The sequence below is a fragment of the Homo sapiens genome, chromosome 2 (assembly GCF_000001405.40).
Source record: "Homo sapiens chromosome 2, GRCh38.p14 Primary Assembly".
Taxonomy (NCBI): Eukaryota; Metazoa; Chordata; class Mammalia; order Primates; family Hominidae; genus Homo; species Homo sapiens.
This window is the reverse complement of record NC_000002.12, coordinates 68,763,332-68,781,115: the sequence shown is the minus strand read 5'-3', so window position 1 is coordinate 68,781,115 and position 17,784 is coordinate 68,763,332. Positions and strand designations below refer to the sequence as shown.

At 43.6% G+C, this 17,784-nt stretch overlaps 1 protein-coding gene across 8 annotated transcripts in view, besides 4 other annotated features; it reads right to left on the bottom strand.

Annotated features, from left to right (window-relative positions):
• ARHGAP25 (Rho GTPase activating protein 25) overlaps window positions 1-17,784 on the bottom strand; it is a 116,290-nt gene that overhangs the window by 45,718 nt on the left and 52,788 nt on the right. For 6 of the 8 annotated variants that reach the window (XM_011533207.4, NM_001007231.3, NM_001364819.1 and 3 more), the window contains exon 2: window positions 5,696-5,895. In XM_011533207.4, the coding sequence (XP_011531509.1) occupies window positions 5,696-5,878 (183 nt within the window). In that variant the 5' untranslated portion in view covers window positions 5,879-5,895. Of the gene's footprint in view, window positions 1-5,695; window positions 6,207-17,784 lie in introns of those variants that run through there. The other 2 variants (NM_001166276.2, NM_014882.3) reach the window with 1 other exon arrangement.
• Window positions 6,094-6,143: an enhancer, noted in NCBI's record as "active region_15963". NCBI's record gives its function as "activates an Ori minimal core promoter by ATAC-STARR-seq in GM12878 lymphoblastoid cells {active_cell/tissue: GM12878}" and the evidence as "EXISTENCE:reporter gene assay evidence [ECO:0000049][PMID:35858748]".
• Window positions 6,164-6,253: an enhancer, noted in NCBI's record as "active region_15962". NCBI's record gives its function as "activates an Ori minimal core promoter by ATAC-STARR-seq in GM12878 lymphoblastoid cells {active_cell/tissue: GM12878}" and the evidence as "EXISTENCE:reporter gene assay evidence [ECO:0000049][PMID:35858748]".
• Window positions 6,284-6,383: an enhancer, noted in NCBI's record as "active region_15961". NCBI's record gives its function as "activates an Ori minimal core promoter by ATAC-STARR-seq in GM12878 lymphoblastoid cells {active_cell/tissue: GM12878}" and the evidence as "EXISTENCE:reporter gene assay evidence [ECO:0000049][PMID:35858748]".
• Window positions 9,636-9,685: an enhancer, noted in NCBI's record as "active region_15960". NCBI's record gives its function as "activates an Ori minimal core promoter by ATAC-STARR-seq in GM12878 lymphoblastoid cells {active_cell/tissue: GM12878}" and the evidence as "EXISTENCE:reporter gene assay evidence [ECO:0000049][PMID:35858748]".

The following is a 17,784-nucleotide window of genomic DNA, read 5'->3' as shown; positions in this document are numbered from 1 at the left end:
GTGCCTGGCCCACTTGAGATAATTCATTAGACCCCCACAACAACTCCATATCCAGAGCATAGCAAGATTTATCACTGCCACTTTGCAGATGAGGAAACTGACACTTTGAATGTCTAAGTGACTGCACAAAGTAACATCGTTAGTGCGCACTGGATCTAGTTATTCATAATTTACACCTCGCTGGCTGTTGAAGGTAGCAGGCCTGATTCTGAGTTGAGTAAACACACGTGTCTTTATTTCAAAACAAAGTACCGATGGAGATGACTGGTGGCAGAGAACACTATAAAGGCAAAAGAGTCTTAAGGAAATCTCAGAAGTAAGATCCACTCAGGAGCCTAAGAGAATAAATGTTTCTTGAGGATCTAGAAATAAAAATGCCTAAGACTGAGAGAGAACAAGACAAGAAGGAAGAGGAGGAGGAGGGGAAGGAACAGAAAGGGCAGGAGAAGGAAGAGGAGAAAGAACAAATGGAGGAGGAGAATGAGGATGAAAGACAAGGAAGGGGAGAAGGGGGAAGGGGAAGGAGGAGAAGAAAAAGAAAATCGGTCTAGAAAGTGGAATTCTGCAATTCCTCTACATTCCTCTAATTTTATTATTTAAAAATAACCTCCACCTACACAGTCCTCACCATCTTTAATAAATCACATCCATGCCTTCAGAAAAAATGACCCTGAGGTTGTGCTGCTGAGCTACTTTGGATGAGTTATGGCACCAGAATAAAAGGCCTTGTTGCTTTTAGGCAGGATGGAGCACTGTCTGGTAAGGAGAGAAGGAAAGGGCAAACACAGAGGTGTCTGCCTCCCCTAAGTACCTCTCCAAACTGTCTTTTGACACCCAAAATCATTTCATCAGAAATAGTAACAATAAAATACTAAAAATATACATGCCATTTATTGAGCATTCCCTAGGTGTCTGACTCTATGCTAATTGCCCTGAATGTATCAGCACATCTAATCTTCATAAGAAGTCTAGGAGGGAAGGACTGTTATTCTTCCCCATTGGAGAAAGGAAGAAGTAAAGCTCAAGGAAGTTAATTAGCTGACCCAGGATCACAAAAGCTAGATAATAAGAAATCTACGATTCCAGCATCAGTCAGTGTGATTCCAGAATTACAAATAAGGCTTTACTTACAAGTCCCACTTGCTGAGAGAAGTAACAATGAGAGTTAAACATGTTCACACCAAGGTGTAAATGACTAATTGCAGGCCCTTTCCTCAAGCTCAGCATGAGAGGCTTGAACTTCATAAATGGCAAGAAGAAAGCAGGTAAGAGGAAGAGACACCAGTAGGGGTGAGGGTGGGGACACTGATAGGGAAGGAAGAATTGTTCCAGGAAGGGAAGGGCCCAAGTTGCCCAGAGCCACTTGTACTTAGCAAGTTGACTGGGGTGGGCTCTGTATAAAGATGGAAGGACAGAAATGTTTATGCAGGAGGCCACAAGTCCTTCAGCAGTAAAGCAATGGAGACAGCTGTGGCAGTGAGGTGCCAGAATATCTAGAATTCTCTAGCTATAACTTTTAAATCCAATTTGTAGTTCATCTAGAACTACATTTTAGCCCAACTCCTTGTTAAAGCATTTTTCAAAATGCTTATATTGGCTCATGAGAACTTAACTGTTAAGTTTTAAGCCAGTTAAATACAGCTATTACTAAAATTTAAATTCTATAAGCTTACAATGAAATATTTTCTATTAAAAAGGTGAAGATACTTAAATTGTACACCTTTCTGATTATTTTGCTATCATTTCTGCTGTTGTGGTTATTTCCATCTATTCTATCTGTGTGGTGGAAATCCTATATAATGTGGTGCTATTGCATGTCTCTTCTCAACTCTGAGTTCAGTGGTATAATGTTGGTAGCTTGCATCAGTCATGATGGGAGTATCTGCCACACAGAAATTAGCAAATGTTGCCCTTCAATCGGCTCTCCCATCAGAGGGCCAGTTGTTAACTATCTACCAGCACACCGCTGGTAGACAACCACTTGTGGCGATGCCTCAGAAAACAGGCAGATGAGACAATGGGACCACGGGTCTACCCTACTACTAGGATTGTCTGAGACCATCATTGTAACAGAAACTTGAGGGCGATAAGCTGAGATTCTGTTTGAAACAATTTCCCTGACAAACAACTCTCTAGAATGGTTTATATAAAGCTAGTTCATGGACTTACACAGCCTTAAACCGTTAAAACTGGACAGGATCTTTCTGAGAACTCAAAGAAAAAATGCACAGACTGCCTTGTGTAGGGCCACAGGATTCTCCAGAAGCACATACAGGAAAGTCTATCATACACGGCTCCATAATTTATTTACATTCTCCTTTGCCGGACGCTAGGTCCAATGTTTCTCATTATAAATAGCATTGAATATTCTTATTATTTCTTTTGGAACTTCGTAGACCCAGAATTACTGTGTCTAAGGGTATGACAATTTTTTGGTGTTTAGTAAATCTGGCCAGATGACTTTCTAGAAAGGTTGTACCAACCAACACACACATCATCAGTGTATGTGAGGGCCCTTACGCCTGATGGCTCCAAGATTATTGTGATGTTTCTGCTTTTTGGTATCTTGGGGGATAGGATGTTTGTGTGCATTCTTTTTAAATTTACAATGATTACACTTCAATTATAAAAATATTTTTAAAGAGACATTAGAAATTGTATGTGTAACCCCAGTATTCAGAGATAACCACGGTTAATACTTCTGTGTATGTCTTTCTAGGCCTTTTTCTATAAATACAGATTCATGCTTTTTTTTTCAAGAATGGGATTAGTATATACATCATCTTCTGTTGTAAACTGCTTTTTAAAGACAGTAATGTTATGGACATTTTTCCATTTCAAAAAGTATTAATTAGGAGCATCAATGTCTGAATTGTATTTTATTGTATAGATATATAAATGTAGCCTAATATAAGTTAGCCCCTACCACTGGGCATTGTTGTCATATCACTAATATAAACAATGCTGTGGGGAATCTACTTAATTATTGTTTGTGATAATAGTATAAACATCAGCCCAAATTCCTAACAGTGGAAAATTAATTAAATAAATTATGGAACATTCATATAATAGATTGCTTTGACATAACTAAGAATTATATTGTAGAATCATATTTAGTGTTGGGGCAAAATTCATGATATATTGTTAATTTTTTCATTAAATAATATTTATTATACTAATTTTGCATTTACAATAGATGAGTTCCTAAATACATATGTATAGGGAAGGCTGAAAGTGGAGGGGATATAGGTGGCTATTTCTTACTAATGGGATTGTGAATAATTTTTAAAGCTTTTATAATCAAATGATACATATCAACATGTGGTAAAATACACTATTCTTTCTAAGAAATTATTATTGTATTCCTAAAGGTTTTATTTTTCTATTTTTCATATCTGAAATGAGTGTTGGATTTTATCAATGCATTTTTCAGCCATCTATTGAAGGGTTGTGTGGTTTTGCTTACTTGACCTATTGATCCGATGTATTATATCAATAGATTTCCTCAAAATAAATTATCCTTGTCATCCTAGAAGTGTTACCTAATTATCTCAGGCTAATTTAGTCCTGAGAAGGCTTTGGGTTTCTTCCTCCCAGAAGTAAGGAGGAGAAGCAAGAACCTTCAGATATTTATTTTACCCTTTGACATTAGTTTATGTTTTAACAAAACAGTTTTTTATACCTGCTTTATATCATTTGATCCTGTGACAAATGCAGGCCAGGTAGTATTGTCTAATTTTATAAAAGAATAAAGCGGGGTCCGGAAAAATGAAATAATTACAGGGCCAAATAGTGGTGGAACCAGGAAAAGAACACATCCTTTTATATAAACTACCTCTCACCCTCTACACTTCATGGAAACACACTCAGCTGCCCCTTTCATTGATCTGGGGTGGCCAAAGCGTTACTGCCGTCTCCCTTACACTCTGCAGATAGGAGGACTTCCTCCATCGTCTTAACATATCAACCGCCATCTTAGCCTGGAATTGCTTGGCTTTAATAAGGTCTGGGGTGTTTATAAAGAGAAGGAAGGCTGGTTACCATGCACAGAACATGAGGCAAGAGCCCCATCTGTGGTGGGGTCCCTGCGATCCTTCCCTGGCCTCTGCAGTGACAGAGACTCCAGAGTTCAGAGCCCTTAAGTGGAGGAACTGGTTAACCAAGTCCTGCTGATGTGCAATGGATCCTCAAGCCTGCCCTTAAAGAAAACAGTCCTCTTCCAAAATGAGCTTTTCATTTTGGTCCCACCCACCCCCAATATCTACACACTTCTTGTCCTTGCCTTTCTCGGGATTTTGTTCTGGCTCCAGAAGGTTCTAGAGTCTGTCATCCCAAATAAGCTCCTTCTGGCCAAGCCCATACTTCCATCTCCACACACATGAGTTCTAGGTGGGTGACAGCTGTGCTGGATGCCCTGAGACATCCAGTTTGCACCTGGGGTCCTGGCGTAATTGTTCAGAGCATCCTCTTTTATTCTCACACACCACAATGGCCAAAAAAGCAATGAGGTTGGCCGAAGAGACCTAGGCCCAAGATTTAGGATTAAAGCCCATTCTCACAGCCTTATCCACTGCATCAGGAAATCCTGTTTGCTCTACTTTCAAAGTATATCCAGAAGCTGACCATTTTCCTCCAGCCCACAACTCCTACTGAGCCCCTAAACATCATAACCCCTTACCTAGATTACTTGCGTCTCCTCTGGCTCTATTTTTGAGCACAGTAGCCACAGCTGTCTTTTTACAATTTAAACCAAAAACTGTCACTCTCTGCTCAGAGCCCTGCAATGCCTCCCTGTGGCCCTCAGTGTGAATGCTCAGGTCCTTACAGTGGCCTGCAGTGCCCCAGCAGTCTGTGCCCCTGACCCCTGACTACCCTCTTGCTTCTCAGACCTCATCCCCTCTGATTCCTACCTGCTAGTTCTGCTCCCACCACAGTGCCCTCCTTGCTATTCCGCAGCCAGGCCAGACATGCTCCCTTTGGTGCCTTAGCACCGGCCGTTCTCTCTGCCTGGAACACTCTTTCCCCAGAGATCTACCCAGCTTATTCCCTCTCCTCTTTAGTCTCGGCCCCAGTGTCACCCTCTTCATGAGGTCATTTGACCATCCTTTTTAAAATTACATCTTCCCTTAACTCGTGACATCTGCTAGCTCATCCTATTTTTTCCTCATAGAACTAATCTTTTCTCTAACAAACTACATACTTTTCTTATTTGTTATGTTTATGTGTCTTTTCCTCCACATTCTAAGCTGCATATGGAAGAGATTTTTATCTGTTTTGCTCATAGTTTATTTCAAGTACCTAGAACAGTGTGTGGCATATAATAAACGCTCAATAAATACTTACTGAACAAACAAATCAATGAGTCCCAAAATCGGTTTTCCTGAACCCAAATCCACTCTCTCTGAGCCCTTGACTGAGTGTCACTACCATCACCGCCCTGTTGCCAGTCTTGACTCAGAGCCATGTGTAGGAAACTCCACAGTGCCCGTCCTGGTGCTTCCTGGAGGACCACTCTGTCATCTTTGCAACTCAGTTTATGTATCTAGAAAATGGTGTAAAGGGAAAAGCAATTTCCTTTCCAATGGGTGTGTCTGGTCCTATTGAGAAGGCCCCTGTGAGTTTAAGTGAAATCCCAGCGGGCTCCAGGCCCGCCTCCTCCGTGCCTTATGAACGGGACAAACAGCCTGGCTGGTACCTGGGGCTTCGTGTCCTCTTCATCCTTGTAGTAGTAGAGCTGCTGCGCCCTCAGCACAAAGTACCTCTGCTGCCAGTTCTTCACGATGGACCTCTGCTTCTTCAGCCAGCCCATCTTGATGGGCCTCTCCAGCGGGTTGGGGGTGGACGATGGATGGAAGGCAGCCATCTGCTCGCCAGTCATCACACTCCTTGACCGAGCTATAGAGAGGAACAGACAGGCCGACTGACCGAGGGACATGGGGCAGTGAGCAAAGAGTGGGCGGAGAGGAGAGAGGAACCCCAGAGGGGGCTGAGAAGCGGGGGGACGACAACCAGGTCCAGTTCAGGGGTCCGGATCTGAGCCAGAGAAAGTCCCCCCCGAGCCAGAGAAGCAGCCGAGGGGCCAGCTCCCGGTCAGGGCCAGGCCAAGAATAAAACCCAGGCTGCAGTCGGTGGCCCCGTGCACAGGCAGTCCGGCACCGCGGCGGGCCCCGTCATTCTGCAAACCGAAAGGTTGGCTGGAGCCTTCTGAAGAGGAAGTGGCCACAGCATCTGACAAAAGGTGCTTCCTTTTTCCTGCGTGGGAGTCAGTATCTGACAAGAGAGAGGAGAAAATAATGCCTCACTCTGAAGGCTCGGGGTGAGTCCCACGCAGCTGCAGAGGCCGCCGGAAGCTGCCTGGGCACTCTTCCACAGCGGCCGGCTAGAGGAGGGGCCGCAAGACAGAAGCTGTTAGCTCCAACCTCGCTGTGGAACGCAGGCCCCCTCCAGCGGACCCCACTCAAACCCCAGCCCCCGGCCACAGGGCCAGCCTGCAGGGAGTTGGCACCTTCTGAATTCTCCTGCCCAGTGCCATTCTGTCCCCTGCCCACGGAGAGTATCCCAGCCCTTTATGCTGTACAAGGCGCTCACTGCTGCTGCCTTCCTATGACCTTTACAGTTAGATCGTCACTGCCAATAGAACTCAGAAGCAGGATTTGAAGCCAGAGCCCCTTGAACCTGCATGCACTCAGCATGGTATATTTGGCTTTTGTTTTCACACAGGAGTTCTGCCTGTCATTCGAGTAAGTCCAGCCTGTACCTCCACATCTTGTCTCCATGGTAACCCCCACCCAGGACCATGCTCTCCTTTCCTTCCCTCCACAGCGCTCCATCGATCACCCTGGTCCCCATTCAACACTTCCTTCTGAGCCCCATCTTATTTCCCAGCCAGTTCAATGATGCCCTTGTCTCCTTGGCCTGCACTGCCCTCCACACTTGCTAATACCCAGTGTCTGCACCCCTCTCCTTCTGCCAAGTGTTGCTGGAGGAAGGCTCCATCTTCCAACCCCCTTTTTCAGCTTTTGTCCATCCCTGGACCACTCATGACACAGCTAAACTAAGCTATCAACTCTGCTCCCGACCCATTTCATTTCACCTGATTGGAGACTAGTTCTACCTTTCCTGACTTTTTGACGGTGGATAAATTATGCTTCTCTGAGCCTCGGCTTCCTCACTTGCTAAATTAGGATAATAATACTTCCTTGTTTATGGAATTGTTGTAGAGATTAAACAAACATACGCAAACCACTTAGCACAGTCCCTGGTCAAAGGTAAGTATATGTTACTCTTGCTGTTTTTATCAACAGGTGACTTTACTTCCTACTAAAAGGATGGGAGTCATCACTGAGAGCTTCTTCAACTTCCCTCTTCACTTCAAAATGTCATTCCATCATCAAGCTTCCTCTCTTTCTTCTTTCCTATCTTTAATGCATTAAATTGCCAACATCTCCTCATTGATTTTGAAAAATATATTCAGGGGGTATACGTGCTGGTTTGTTACATGAGTCCATCGCCTAATGGTGGGGATTGGGTTTCTAGTGTATCCATCACCCAAATATTGAACATTGTAACCAACAGGTAATTTTTCAATCCTCACCTTCCTCCTGCCTTCCCCACTTTTGGAGTCCTCAGTGCCTATTATTCCCATATTTATGTCCACGTATACCTATTGTTTAGCTCCCACTTATAAATAAGAACATGGGATATTTGATTTTCTGTTTCTGAGTTAGTTAGGATAAATAGCCTCCAGCTCCATCCATGTTGCTGCAAAGGACAGAATTTCATTCTTTCTGATTCTCTTATTTCTATCTCCTTCTACGCCTGTGATTCTCAATCTTTATTTATAATCATGGCATACTTTCAAACACCAGAGTTTTATATGGCATTACAGAGTCTTTCTGTAGCTATCTCCAATTGTATCTGGAGTTATCACCCTATTTCCACATTTCATCCTTCGGTCCAATATTGCTGTCTGAAGAGGACTCCACTGTAACTGGGCTCCCTTGACCCTCACAAGGGGTCTGAGTTCCCATAATATGCCCTTATACCTGGTTCCATCTGGCAGTCACTTCTTACCTCCCACCAGGGACCTGGTGAGGTCATACTAGGTTGTATCCCACGTTGCAAGACATATTTGATTCAGCTTCCCATTGGACAGACATCATCACAAGAGTGCTTATGCTCAGATGTAGAAAAGATAATTTGATATTTTGATGACAATTTGGTAGCTTGCTTACAAAGGATTTGCTTTATATCAGTGTGTCTTAGCATCCCAGTTAAGAACTTTATCTGAGATCTTGCTCCTCAGTTACTTGCTATCTTCAAGGCCTTCTATCTGTAATTAAAAAGCAGCCAGTGTGGGCTGATCACTTGCTCTAAGGCTGTGGAAATGATCCCCAAAGAACTACAGAAAGATTTTGGCAGAATACAATGGGGAGGAGGGAATTTGAAGGACTGTATACAGTTCTGTATCTCTCTAAGTCAGAGACTATACCTTGCAAGGACTCTTATCTGTCCTAGAAAGAGGGCAGAGAGTAGGCAAAAATGAAAAAGATAGTTTACACACAAAACTTTTGGAGAAAATCGAAGAGTGAGGCATTCCAGCAGATGCAGAGGCATTCTCCCCCACTTCAGTAGCCTCAGTGAAGTCTATCCCGGTGTGGCTTTTGTGACCATCCAACTGTAGCAACATCAGACATGATAGGGAGGACCCCCTTCTAGCAGTGGCATATGAGGAACCTTTACTTGGCTTCTGAGGTGATGCCATCAAATGGAGCCAACTCAGGAGTGAGGGGAAGTGCCACATGGTGGCTAGAAGGACTCAGGCCCCTTGGGCCACCCCCAGAGGCCCACAGACATCATTAGGACCACAGTGGGGGTTAGGGGAAACTGAAGGTCTCCAACAGCATTGAAGAAGTGGGAAGCGGTTAGCAGAAGAGAAAAAGATACTACAGATTGGAAAGAATTCACTCAGCATAGAAGAAATTAGTTGCTGGTATTTTGTTCACAGTTCTGTGAAATTTTTCATGCTTTGTTGTGGCAAAAACAACTATAAGAAAAACAAACAAACAAAAAACCCTCCTAGGAGCACGTGTGCGTTGCAGAATGACCTGGCAAAGGCAGGAGTAAGTGCGAGGATCTTATGTTCCCAGACCTGGCCAAGGGGACCTTTGATGCCCTTGTAGCAGAAAGGCAACCAGCTTGTCTGCTTACATATGAACAAGGCTCTGCCTGGCCATGTTTTATATCCATAAAGGATACCACTCACTCTACATCCAACCAGTGTTTCTTTAGTGCCTGTTAACATCCCACCATAGTTTGTGTAACTATGAGCACTGGGCCACCTGTTATAAGTTAGAGAGTGGGGATAGCTCAGTACAAAGTTCCACACTGCTGGAATTAGGCCCAAACCCTGAGGGTAGGGAGACAGCTGGGGTCTCAGATGAGCTGGGGATTAAGCAGGGGCACTTTCCATCCCAAGTGCAGAGCCATCTCCCTCCATAGCCCACAGTGTTGCTCACCAGCCAGGCCTAGCATGAGATCATTAAAATAGCAGAGAAGAAAGTCTGGGGGCCTTGAGTTTGTCATGGTTTTGACCAACTTTCCTTGTTAGGTTCTTTGAACAGTCTCTCTTCTTTGTGGGTGGGACTTGTTCCGGATAAAGTAAACAAAGAGATCTGTTACTATTAATGGAGCTGTTTCTCATAATGAAAATAATAACCATGATAAGCTTCACTTGTGAGCCAGTCATTGTACCCTGAGTGCACATTCCCAGCCCTTCAGGAAGCAGGTCTGAACCAGGCGGAGGGTTGGAGAGGGGGCTGCAGGCAGACCAGGGCGGGGAAAGGTGGGAAGGCAGTTGCTCAGTGTTTACAGAACACCTTGGGGCAAGTGAGAAATGAGGGCCTCAATAAGGTTAGAAACCTCACATTATTCTAGTAGAGAGAGGATGAGCAAGCCCCTAGCACTGCATTGTCTAGTACAGTAGCCACTAACCATAAGTGGCTGTGTACATTTAAATGAATTAAATAGGTTACATTAAGTTACAATTGAGTTCCTCCGTCATACTAGCCATGTTTTAAGTACTCAGTAAGCCTGTGTGTTTCGTGGCTACAGTACTGGACAACAGATAGAGAACATTTCCACTATCACAGAAAGTTCTGCTGGTCAGCACTTCCCAGAACCTGAGTGCTATCATTACAAAGCGTGGGGTGGAAATGGGCCATAAAAGTGAGGCAGCATTTTATCAAATAGAGAAATCAAGCTGGAGGGCCCAGAGAAGAAGATGCTTTAGATGACAGAGTGAGGCATTCAACTTGATTAGAGAGGTAGTAGGGAGCTATTTCATATTCCTGAGCAAGGGAGGCCCATGATAAAATATAGTTGTATGACTGGACTGTTGGTGCTGAATTTTAGTCTGCAGGTGTGAGAGAGTACTGGAAAGGAAAGAAGAGAAATAGAAGAAGTGCCACATGCCTAGGGATGTTGTTTCTGCTGTAGAAGTTAGCTGCTTTTTGCCCCAAGATGGGGCAAAGGAAAATTAAAGAAGGAAGTACGAACAGAGAAGTCAGCTGAGAAACGTTATCACTTCCTTTCTTCATCTTCTGCCGCTGAACCCTCAAAATAATCTGCTCTCAATTCTGACTCAGTCTAGATTCCACTTTGGATGGCTGTAAATGTGTGGGTGAGGTGTGAATAGTTCTTTCAGAGCTGGGGAAACAATTTCAGGTATTTTCCCAGTATGTTGATATGAGCTGTGCATTAGTTTGGGAACCATGTTTAAATGGATTTGAAAAGGGAGTAGAATTTGCATGGCTTCCCCCAGCCCTCCTTTCTGAGCTGTAGACCCATCCATCCAGCTTCCTAACACACCTCCATGAGAATGTCAAGCTCATCATGCTTACCACCTCATCAAACTTACCACCTTTCCCCTTCTCACCTCTACCATTCCTCTGGCTAACACTGACACACATGCCCAAACCTGCTTTACCTCCGCTGGTCTCTCTGATGTACTTGAGTGACATTCTCCCAGCCAACCAATCAACACAGAAGGCTGCCTGTTCCTTATATTCAGCACTGACAGCATTGCTTATGACGTGAGCCTTCTCAAACAGAATTCTGATCATGTTACCTTCCTGCCTAAAAGCCTCTGATGACCCCCAGCATCTCCCTCCTAAACGATGAAGTCTAAACTGCCATGGAGTTGGAGTCCTTTGCGGCTTTTTCTGCTGCATTTCCTGCTCTTTCTCCATGCCCATCCTGCTCTTTATCCAGGACAGTATGCTATTCTCTCTGCTGGAATGTCCTCCCTACCCACCCCCACCTACATCCAATTTGACCTCTTGGAAAACTCTTACTTATCCTTCAAGAATCCCTTCAGGCCCCACTTCCTGTGAGAAGCCTTCCTGGCCCTGCCAGACTTAGTTGCTCCCTGGCTCTGGACCCTTGTCAGTGGAGACACCTGTGTATCGTAGCCTTTGTCGCCTTGCTTGGTACTTTTTTCTTTTCCTGTCTTCCCTCTCCACTTGCACTCTAAGAAGACAGGGGTACTCCCTTGATGTTTGGCCTTGCTCATCCTTGTATCGTGCACCTAACACAGTGCCTAACAGAGAGAAGGAAGGAGAAAGTAGCAGAAGTGCACAGGCTTCTACATACGCAGCCTTGGGTAAGCCGTATTCTATCTCTGAGGGCCAGTTTCCTCCTCTGTAAAGCTGTGATAATAACATGCATCTTATGGGGTGATAAATCCATAGGGATTAGTAAGGGTAAGTGGACAGGTCCCAGCCAGTGCCTGCTTCTTAAAACATAGAAATTAAATGAAAGCTATTATTATTAACATTATTATTATAGTATGGACTCAATTTTATTCTAAATGAGAGAAAAGAAAGAGAATATTACAGAGGGGAGGGATGAAAAGAGGGAGAGAGATGGTATAGAGGGAGATTGGCTGGACATTGCACAATATTCCAGGTGCAAAGCCAGAAGCCTGGATTAGGATGGAAGAGGAAACAATATGAGAGGCTAATACTGAGAGGACTCAGCCCCCTGCTGAACAAGGAGGAGCAGGAGACAAAGATTTTTGTGAGGTCTGGGGTTTGAGTGGCTCTGGTAAGGTAGCCTTCCCCATTCATTCATTCATTCATTCAAGATTGAGGACTTGACATGCACCAGAACAATTTTGGGTCCTGAGGATATGAGATCAGCCAGACACAGCCCTGATGGATCTGGGAGACCCATTCATGGAAGCAAGAAAGGAAATCAGAGAACAAGGCCAGTTTGAACAGGCAGGTGAGTCCAGTTCTGGACATGATAAAGTGTGAGGGTGGACTGAGAGCTTCAAGCTTCCCGAGAGTTTTGCTTTTGATAAGTAAGGCTTATGAATTAAGAAAGAGACTAGGGGGAGAAAAGAGGTGCAAGTGAAAGCCAGAAGATTTGAGTGACGTGAAAATCTCAGACCAGAAAAGTTATTTGCATAGACGTTCAGGAACCAAAGAAAAGATGGCATAGAGGAAACCAGCACAGAGGGAAGCATTTCTAACTTGAGGCTGTGGGGATAAACTGAGATGCAAGACAGAAAAGGGTGCTGTTTTCCTTGGGATTTTTAGTAAAGCTCCACACTTCCTAGAAAAGCATCTGGCAATTGAAGCATCTTGATAAATATTTGCTGAGTTAATAAAATAAATGTTTTAGAACGAAATGTGAGCCACCATGCAGGCATTTTGTATTTGCGAGAAATATTGGCCAATTTACCTATTGGCGGGATTTCTGGATATGTTCACTGCATCCACTTGAGCAGAGTGGACGATGGAAGATATAATCCCTGATCTAACAATAATGAATATCAAGTTACTTATGTATTGAGTACTTACCACGAGCCAGCCACAGTGCAAGCACTTTATAGAGCTGTGTCATTTAATGCTCATGCTCTTTATGTAAGTACCATACTGTCACCCTCATTTTTCAGACCAGGAACCAAAGCTCACAGAGGTGAAATGATCTGCTCCAGTTAACAACTAGAAATCTGATTTCAAAGCCCAATATCCATACCTAAGCCACAGCCCAGAAAGGAGCATGTATTCTTGTGGTGAAGAGAGGCATCCACATTGGAGATGGAATCCATGTCTAGTAATTCACAGGGTTAAAGAATCCAGAGTGAAGTGGACAGGAGAGACCATGCCACCTTTCACTGAGCTGGGAACAAAGCCACTACTCCTAACCTATCATGTGAAGCAGCTGCCTCAGCCCCACCCATTTTGCCTCTAGATTGTGCACAAACAATTTTGTGCTATTTCCGCCAGTGTATGCTCTGCAAGGCTCAGCAGGCCTCGAAAACACAGTGACAGAGAAATGGTACTGAAACCTCAAGCCCACCACTGAGGCTGTGCTGATACCCCAACAAGAAAACGGACATATTAGGTAATCCTGCCACGTCTTACCAGCTGCTACCCAAGCTCATGTGGAGAGACCTAGGGATTCTGAGCAAGGTCCCACGTGGCCGAGGCATGGGAGGGAGAGAGAGTGAGCTAAGCTACCGTGGGCCGGCAGTCAGGCCCACACCACAGCTGAGGAAGGAGCCGACTGGGGAGCTCTCTGAAACAGCAGACCTGGCATTGCTACCACCTGAAAATGATAAACAGATTCATACGTCCCTGCCCACACCCCGCACACATACACACACGCAACGCCCCTGCCACATTCACACATACATACATGCAGACCCCCCACCTATCCTGTTATCAGACTGCGGGATGATGGCCCTCAGTTTCCACCCAGAAGGAAATTAGGACATGTGACTTCAGAAACTTCAGGCTCGCTTTCTGTATCCCTTTTCTGTCTTCAAAGCAAACGCCACCCCCCCATTGAAAAGCACCCATCATTCTTTTGAGTTTCGTTTTTAACTTTAGTATGAAAAGCACTGCCCCTTCAAAAGGCATCTTTACTGTGAGACTGATGACAGCAAAGGAGCCTTCTCTCTGTACCCTGAAATTAAACCACACGGGTCTTCCCAGGGCACTCACCCTTGAGACAAATTTGTATAACCGAATTCATAGAAATATCTAAAAGTTGTTCCCTAAATGCCTGCCTCAATACTCCGGAATTGGGCAGATTTCATTTTCCCATGTTCTATGGATTCTAGAAATGCCCTTTATTGTTTGACAAGTGACTATGTCAACCTAAAGGAAAAGAATCTGCTTTGGAAAGGGGCTTGGCACCAATAACTATGTGTTCTGCAGGAAGAGGTAAAAAATGCTGTCTTGGTAGCAATATGAGACAGAGGGAGAGAAATTATCTGTGTGTGTGAGAGAGAGAAAAAGAGAGAGGGAGAGAGAATGACAGAGAGTGAGAACAAGAGAGAGGGAGAGAGAATGACAGAGAGTGAGAACAAGAGAGAGAGAGAGAGAGAAGGGGAGAGAGAGAGGAGTACTGGCTTTCTGTTACTTCTTTCTTATCAGCAGCTCTGGAAACCTGAGCCAGCAACAAATATTGCAAGGTTTTTTTGCACGCCAGCAAATTTGTTTCACCTAGGGTGCCTCTCCAGGGCCACCCCTCCAGTGTTCATGTTTTGTGGCTTTCGTGTTTCTTAGGAATTTAGAGTGCAGTTGCCTCTTGTGGGTCTGTGTGTCTCCATCAGTTGCAACACCTTACCCAGCCCTCTCCGCCTGTCTCTGCATAACAGGAAGCCACGTGTAATAACAAGAAGCTTGCGGAAGAACACTGCCCCAGAGCTGCCTCTTCCTCAGCACAAGGCAAAGTGGAGATTTGGCAATCAGAGGGCAAATTTTCTCTGTAGAAAATTCTTTGACAATGTAGCTGGTTAACTGCATATGCAAGCTACCTGCTTTCCCAGGCGTTAGTGTAAGGAAGAACAATTCTCATCAGGTAGGACTGCAGGATAATTAGTGCAGTAAGCTCTGCCCAACACCCTAGTGGTGTGTTACATTAGGAAGAGCAATCGAAGTACTGACCCCTCCATTGCCAAAGCTAGTCATTTATTTTAGGTAAGAGGTTTTGGTTCACTAGTCACTAGCATTCATAAATAAATAAGTGCATTAGGATGCTTGAAATATTTGTATTGCATAAGCATGGATGAATTATATGGCCTGAGTAATTCACAGGAAGGACCCTTCCAGGGCAATGCTCAAGTACTGGCAACTACCATCAAGCACTGGCCCTTGAGGAGGCTACAAGCCATTACAGCCTAACAGACGTCACTCCAGTCAGTTTCTGGGGCCTCTACAGGTCTTAGGGAACAGTGATTTTAAACTTTAACACTACTGAGAGTTAAAGTGACCAATGAATAATGCTAGCAGTGGGGTGGGCCCAGGAAACGAGTCATAATATGTTTCTCCTATTCTACAACCTGATAAAAAGATTTCATTAAAAACTGAGACAATTTGATCATGGATAAAGGATAGATGATACCAATGAATTATTGATTAGTTTTGTTAGGCGTGATCAGGACAATGTGGCTAGAAAATAAAATTTCCATATTTTTAAGGATGCATACTTAAGCATGGGGAAAATGTGTCTGGGATTTGTTTTAAAATATCTTAGCATAAAAGGGAATAAAAGAAAAAGAAAGGGATAGATAAAACAATGTGACGAAATATTCTGTTGAACTTCAGTAGTGGGTCTACATGGGGGTTCATTATATTTTCTCTGTTGTGTTTGGAATGTTGATATAATAAATGATCTTTTTAAATATTTTATTAGGCTTAAAAATAAATTCAATAGGCTTGTTGGGTTTTTTTTTTTTTACATGTCAACTATTGCTCTAAACTTCAACTTGTCTATTTTCCAAGGTCTGCATTTCAGACCTGTTACTCCTCAGAGCACAGCGGAATGACACTACACAGATGTTATACCACTTACGTACACATTCCCTCCCAGACAGATCCGCCTCCATATCCCTGCACTGTCACTTTATCAGCTGATGAATGGGAAGAACTGAGGGACTTACTGAGGCTGCCAGTATGGATAGTATTTCCTGTAAAGTCAGCTTTTACCCCAACACTTACTGGCAGAGAGAGAGAAAGGGCAGCAGAAACCGGAGGGAGCCCAAGGGTGGTCTGTGAGGGAACTCAGGAAGGAATGACCACCTAGAATTCTAGGTGACCTCATGGCAAGAGCTTCCATTTCCAAATTTCCATTAAAATGACAAAGGGACTAGCTCAATAATAACAAGGGGAGATCTAAAATGAAAGTAAAAGTAAAGAAGGATTCTATCTGCATGCCATTTGGGGGGAAGACGGATTTCTGCAAGATGTAGGATAGGCAAGGCTAAACTGAAGAAAGCTGTTGGTCTCACAACTCAATGCATATGGAACAGCCTGCCCCAGAGGGAGCGGAAAGGGCCCAAGAAAATCCTGCACTAACAACACCTAGAGAGGAACAGCAGCAGCATGGAGGCAGGGAACAGATGGAGACCTGAGAGCTCCTTCCAAGTGCGCACAGAGGTCTGGCTGGGGCATGTTATTTCCAGTTTACCCTGGGTGCCCAAAGTCAGGCCAGACAAAAAGTAACAGCTCTGTCCTGCTGGCTCCTCAACCAGGTCACGATACCAGTGAGAACAGAGGGTGCCTGTCCACCTAACCTGGAGCTACACAAGAAGAAAAACAAGAAGAAAATGAACTTTCCTTCAACAGAGAGGGTAGCTACCCTCCCTTAACCCCTTAACTGGATGCGTCTTAAAAAGTTACACATAAGCTTGCCATAGCACCCAGCAATTCCACTCCTGGGAATCTATTCAGGGGATGTGAAGGCACACGTCCATAACAGTTTTTGAATGTGAATGTTTCTAGCAGTATTATAGATGATGGTCAAAACTGAAAACAATCCAGAAGCCACAAACAGGTTACTGGATAAACAAAATGTGGGAAAGCCAAACAGCGCAATACTACTTGGCAACACCAAGGAGCAAAGGACTGATTCATGCCACACAAAGAACCTCAAAAACATTCAGCTAAGTGAAAGAACCTGAATGCAAAAGACAACAAATTATATGAGTCTGTGCATAAGAAATATCCAGAAAAGGCAATTCTGTAGAGACAGTGGTTGCCAGGACTGAGGGTGAGAGCAGGGATTGATTGCAAAACGGCTGGAGAGAACTTTTTGGGGTAATAAAAATGTCCTAAAACTGGACTATGGTAATCATCACACAACCCTATAAATTTACTAAAAATCATTGAATTGTATACTTACAATGAAGGAATTTTATGGCATATAAATTATACCTCAGTAAAGTTTTTAAAAGAAAGATTAGAAACTAAATAATATATATAACTGCCATACACACAAAAAACCCACCATGGAAACAGTGAAGAGTAGAACAGTTTCTGCAGAAAAAATGAGAATAATTTTCTACACTTTTTATGTGGTGAAACATGCCAGAAACTCTGCAGAGTTAGAGATTTTTGACTGTTTTGTCACTCAAATGTCTGGAATATTCCAGGAATGCAAGAATACTTCAATATTTAAAAAACTAGTAAATGGTTTAGCCCATCAATAATTTAAAAAGTCTTATGTTTTCAAAGATTATGAACTTGCTTTTGATAAATTCAACATTAGTTTATATTAAATGTTAGTTATAAAGAACAGAAGATCACATTCTTAGGTGTTAAAGTGTATCTCAAACCGAAAAAAGGGGAGGGAAGAATTGAAGGAACGCTCTGTATTGCTGAAAATGCAACTACAGAAAATTGGAAGAATTAAACATTTTTAGGATTCAGGCCAAATATTTGCTTGGTGTTTTAACTGTATATGGAAAAATGATGAAGTACAGCAGAG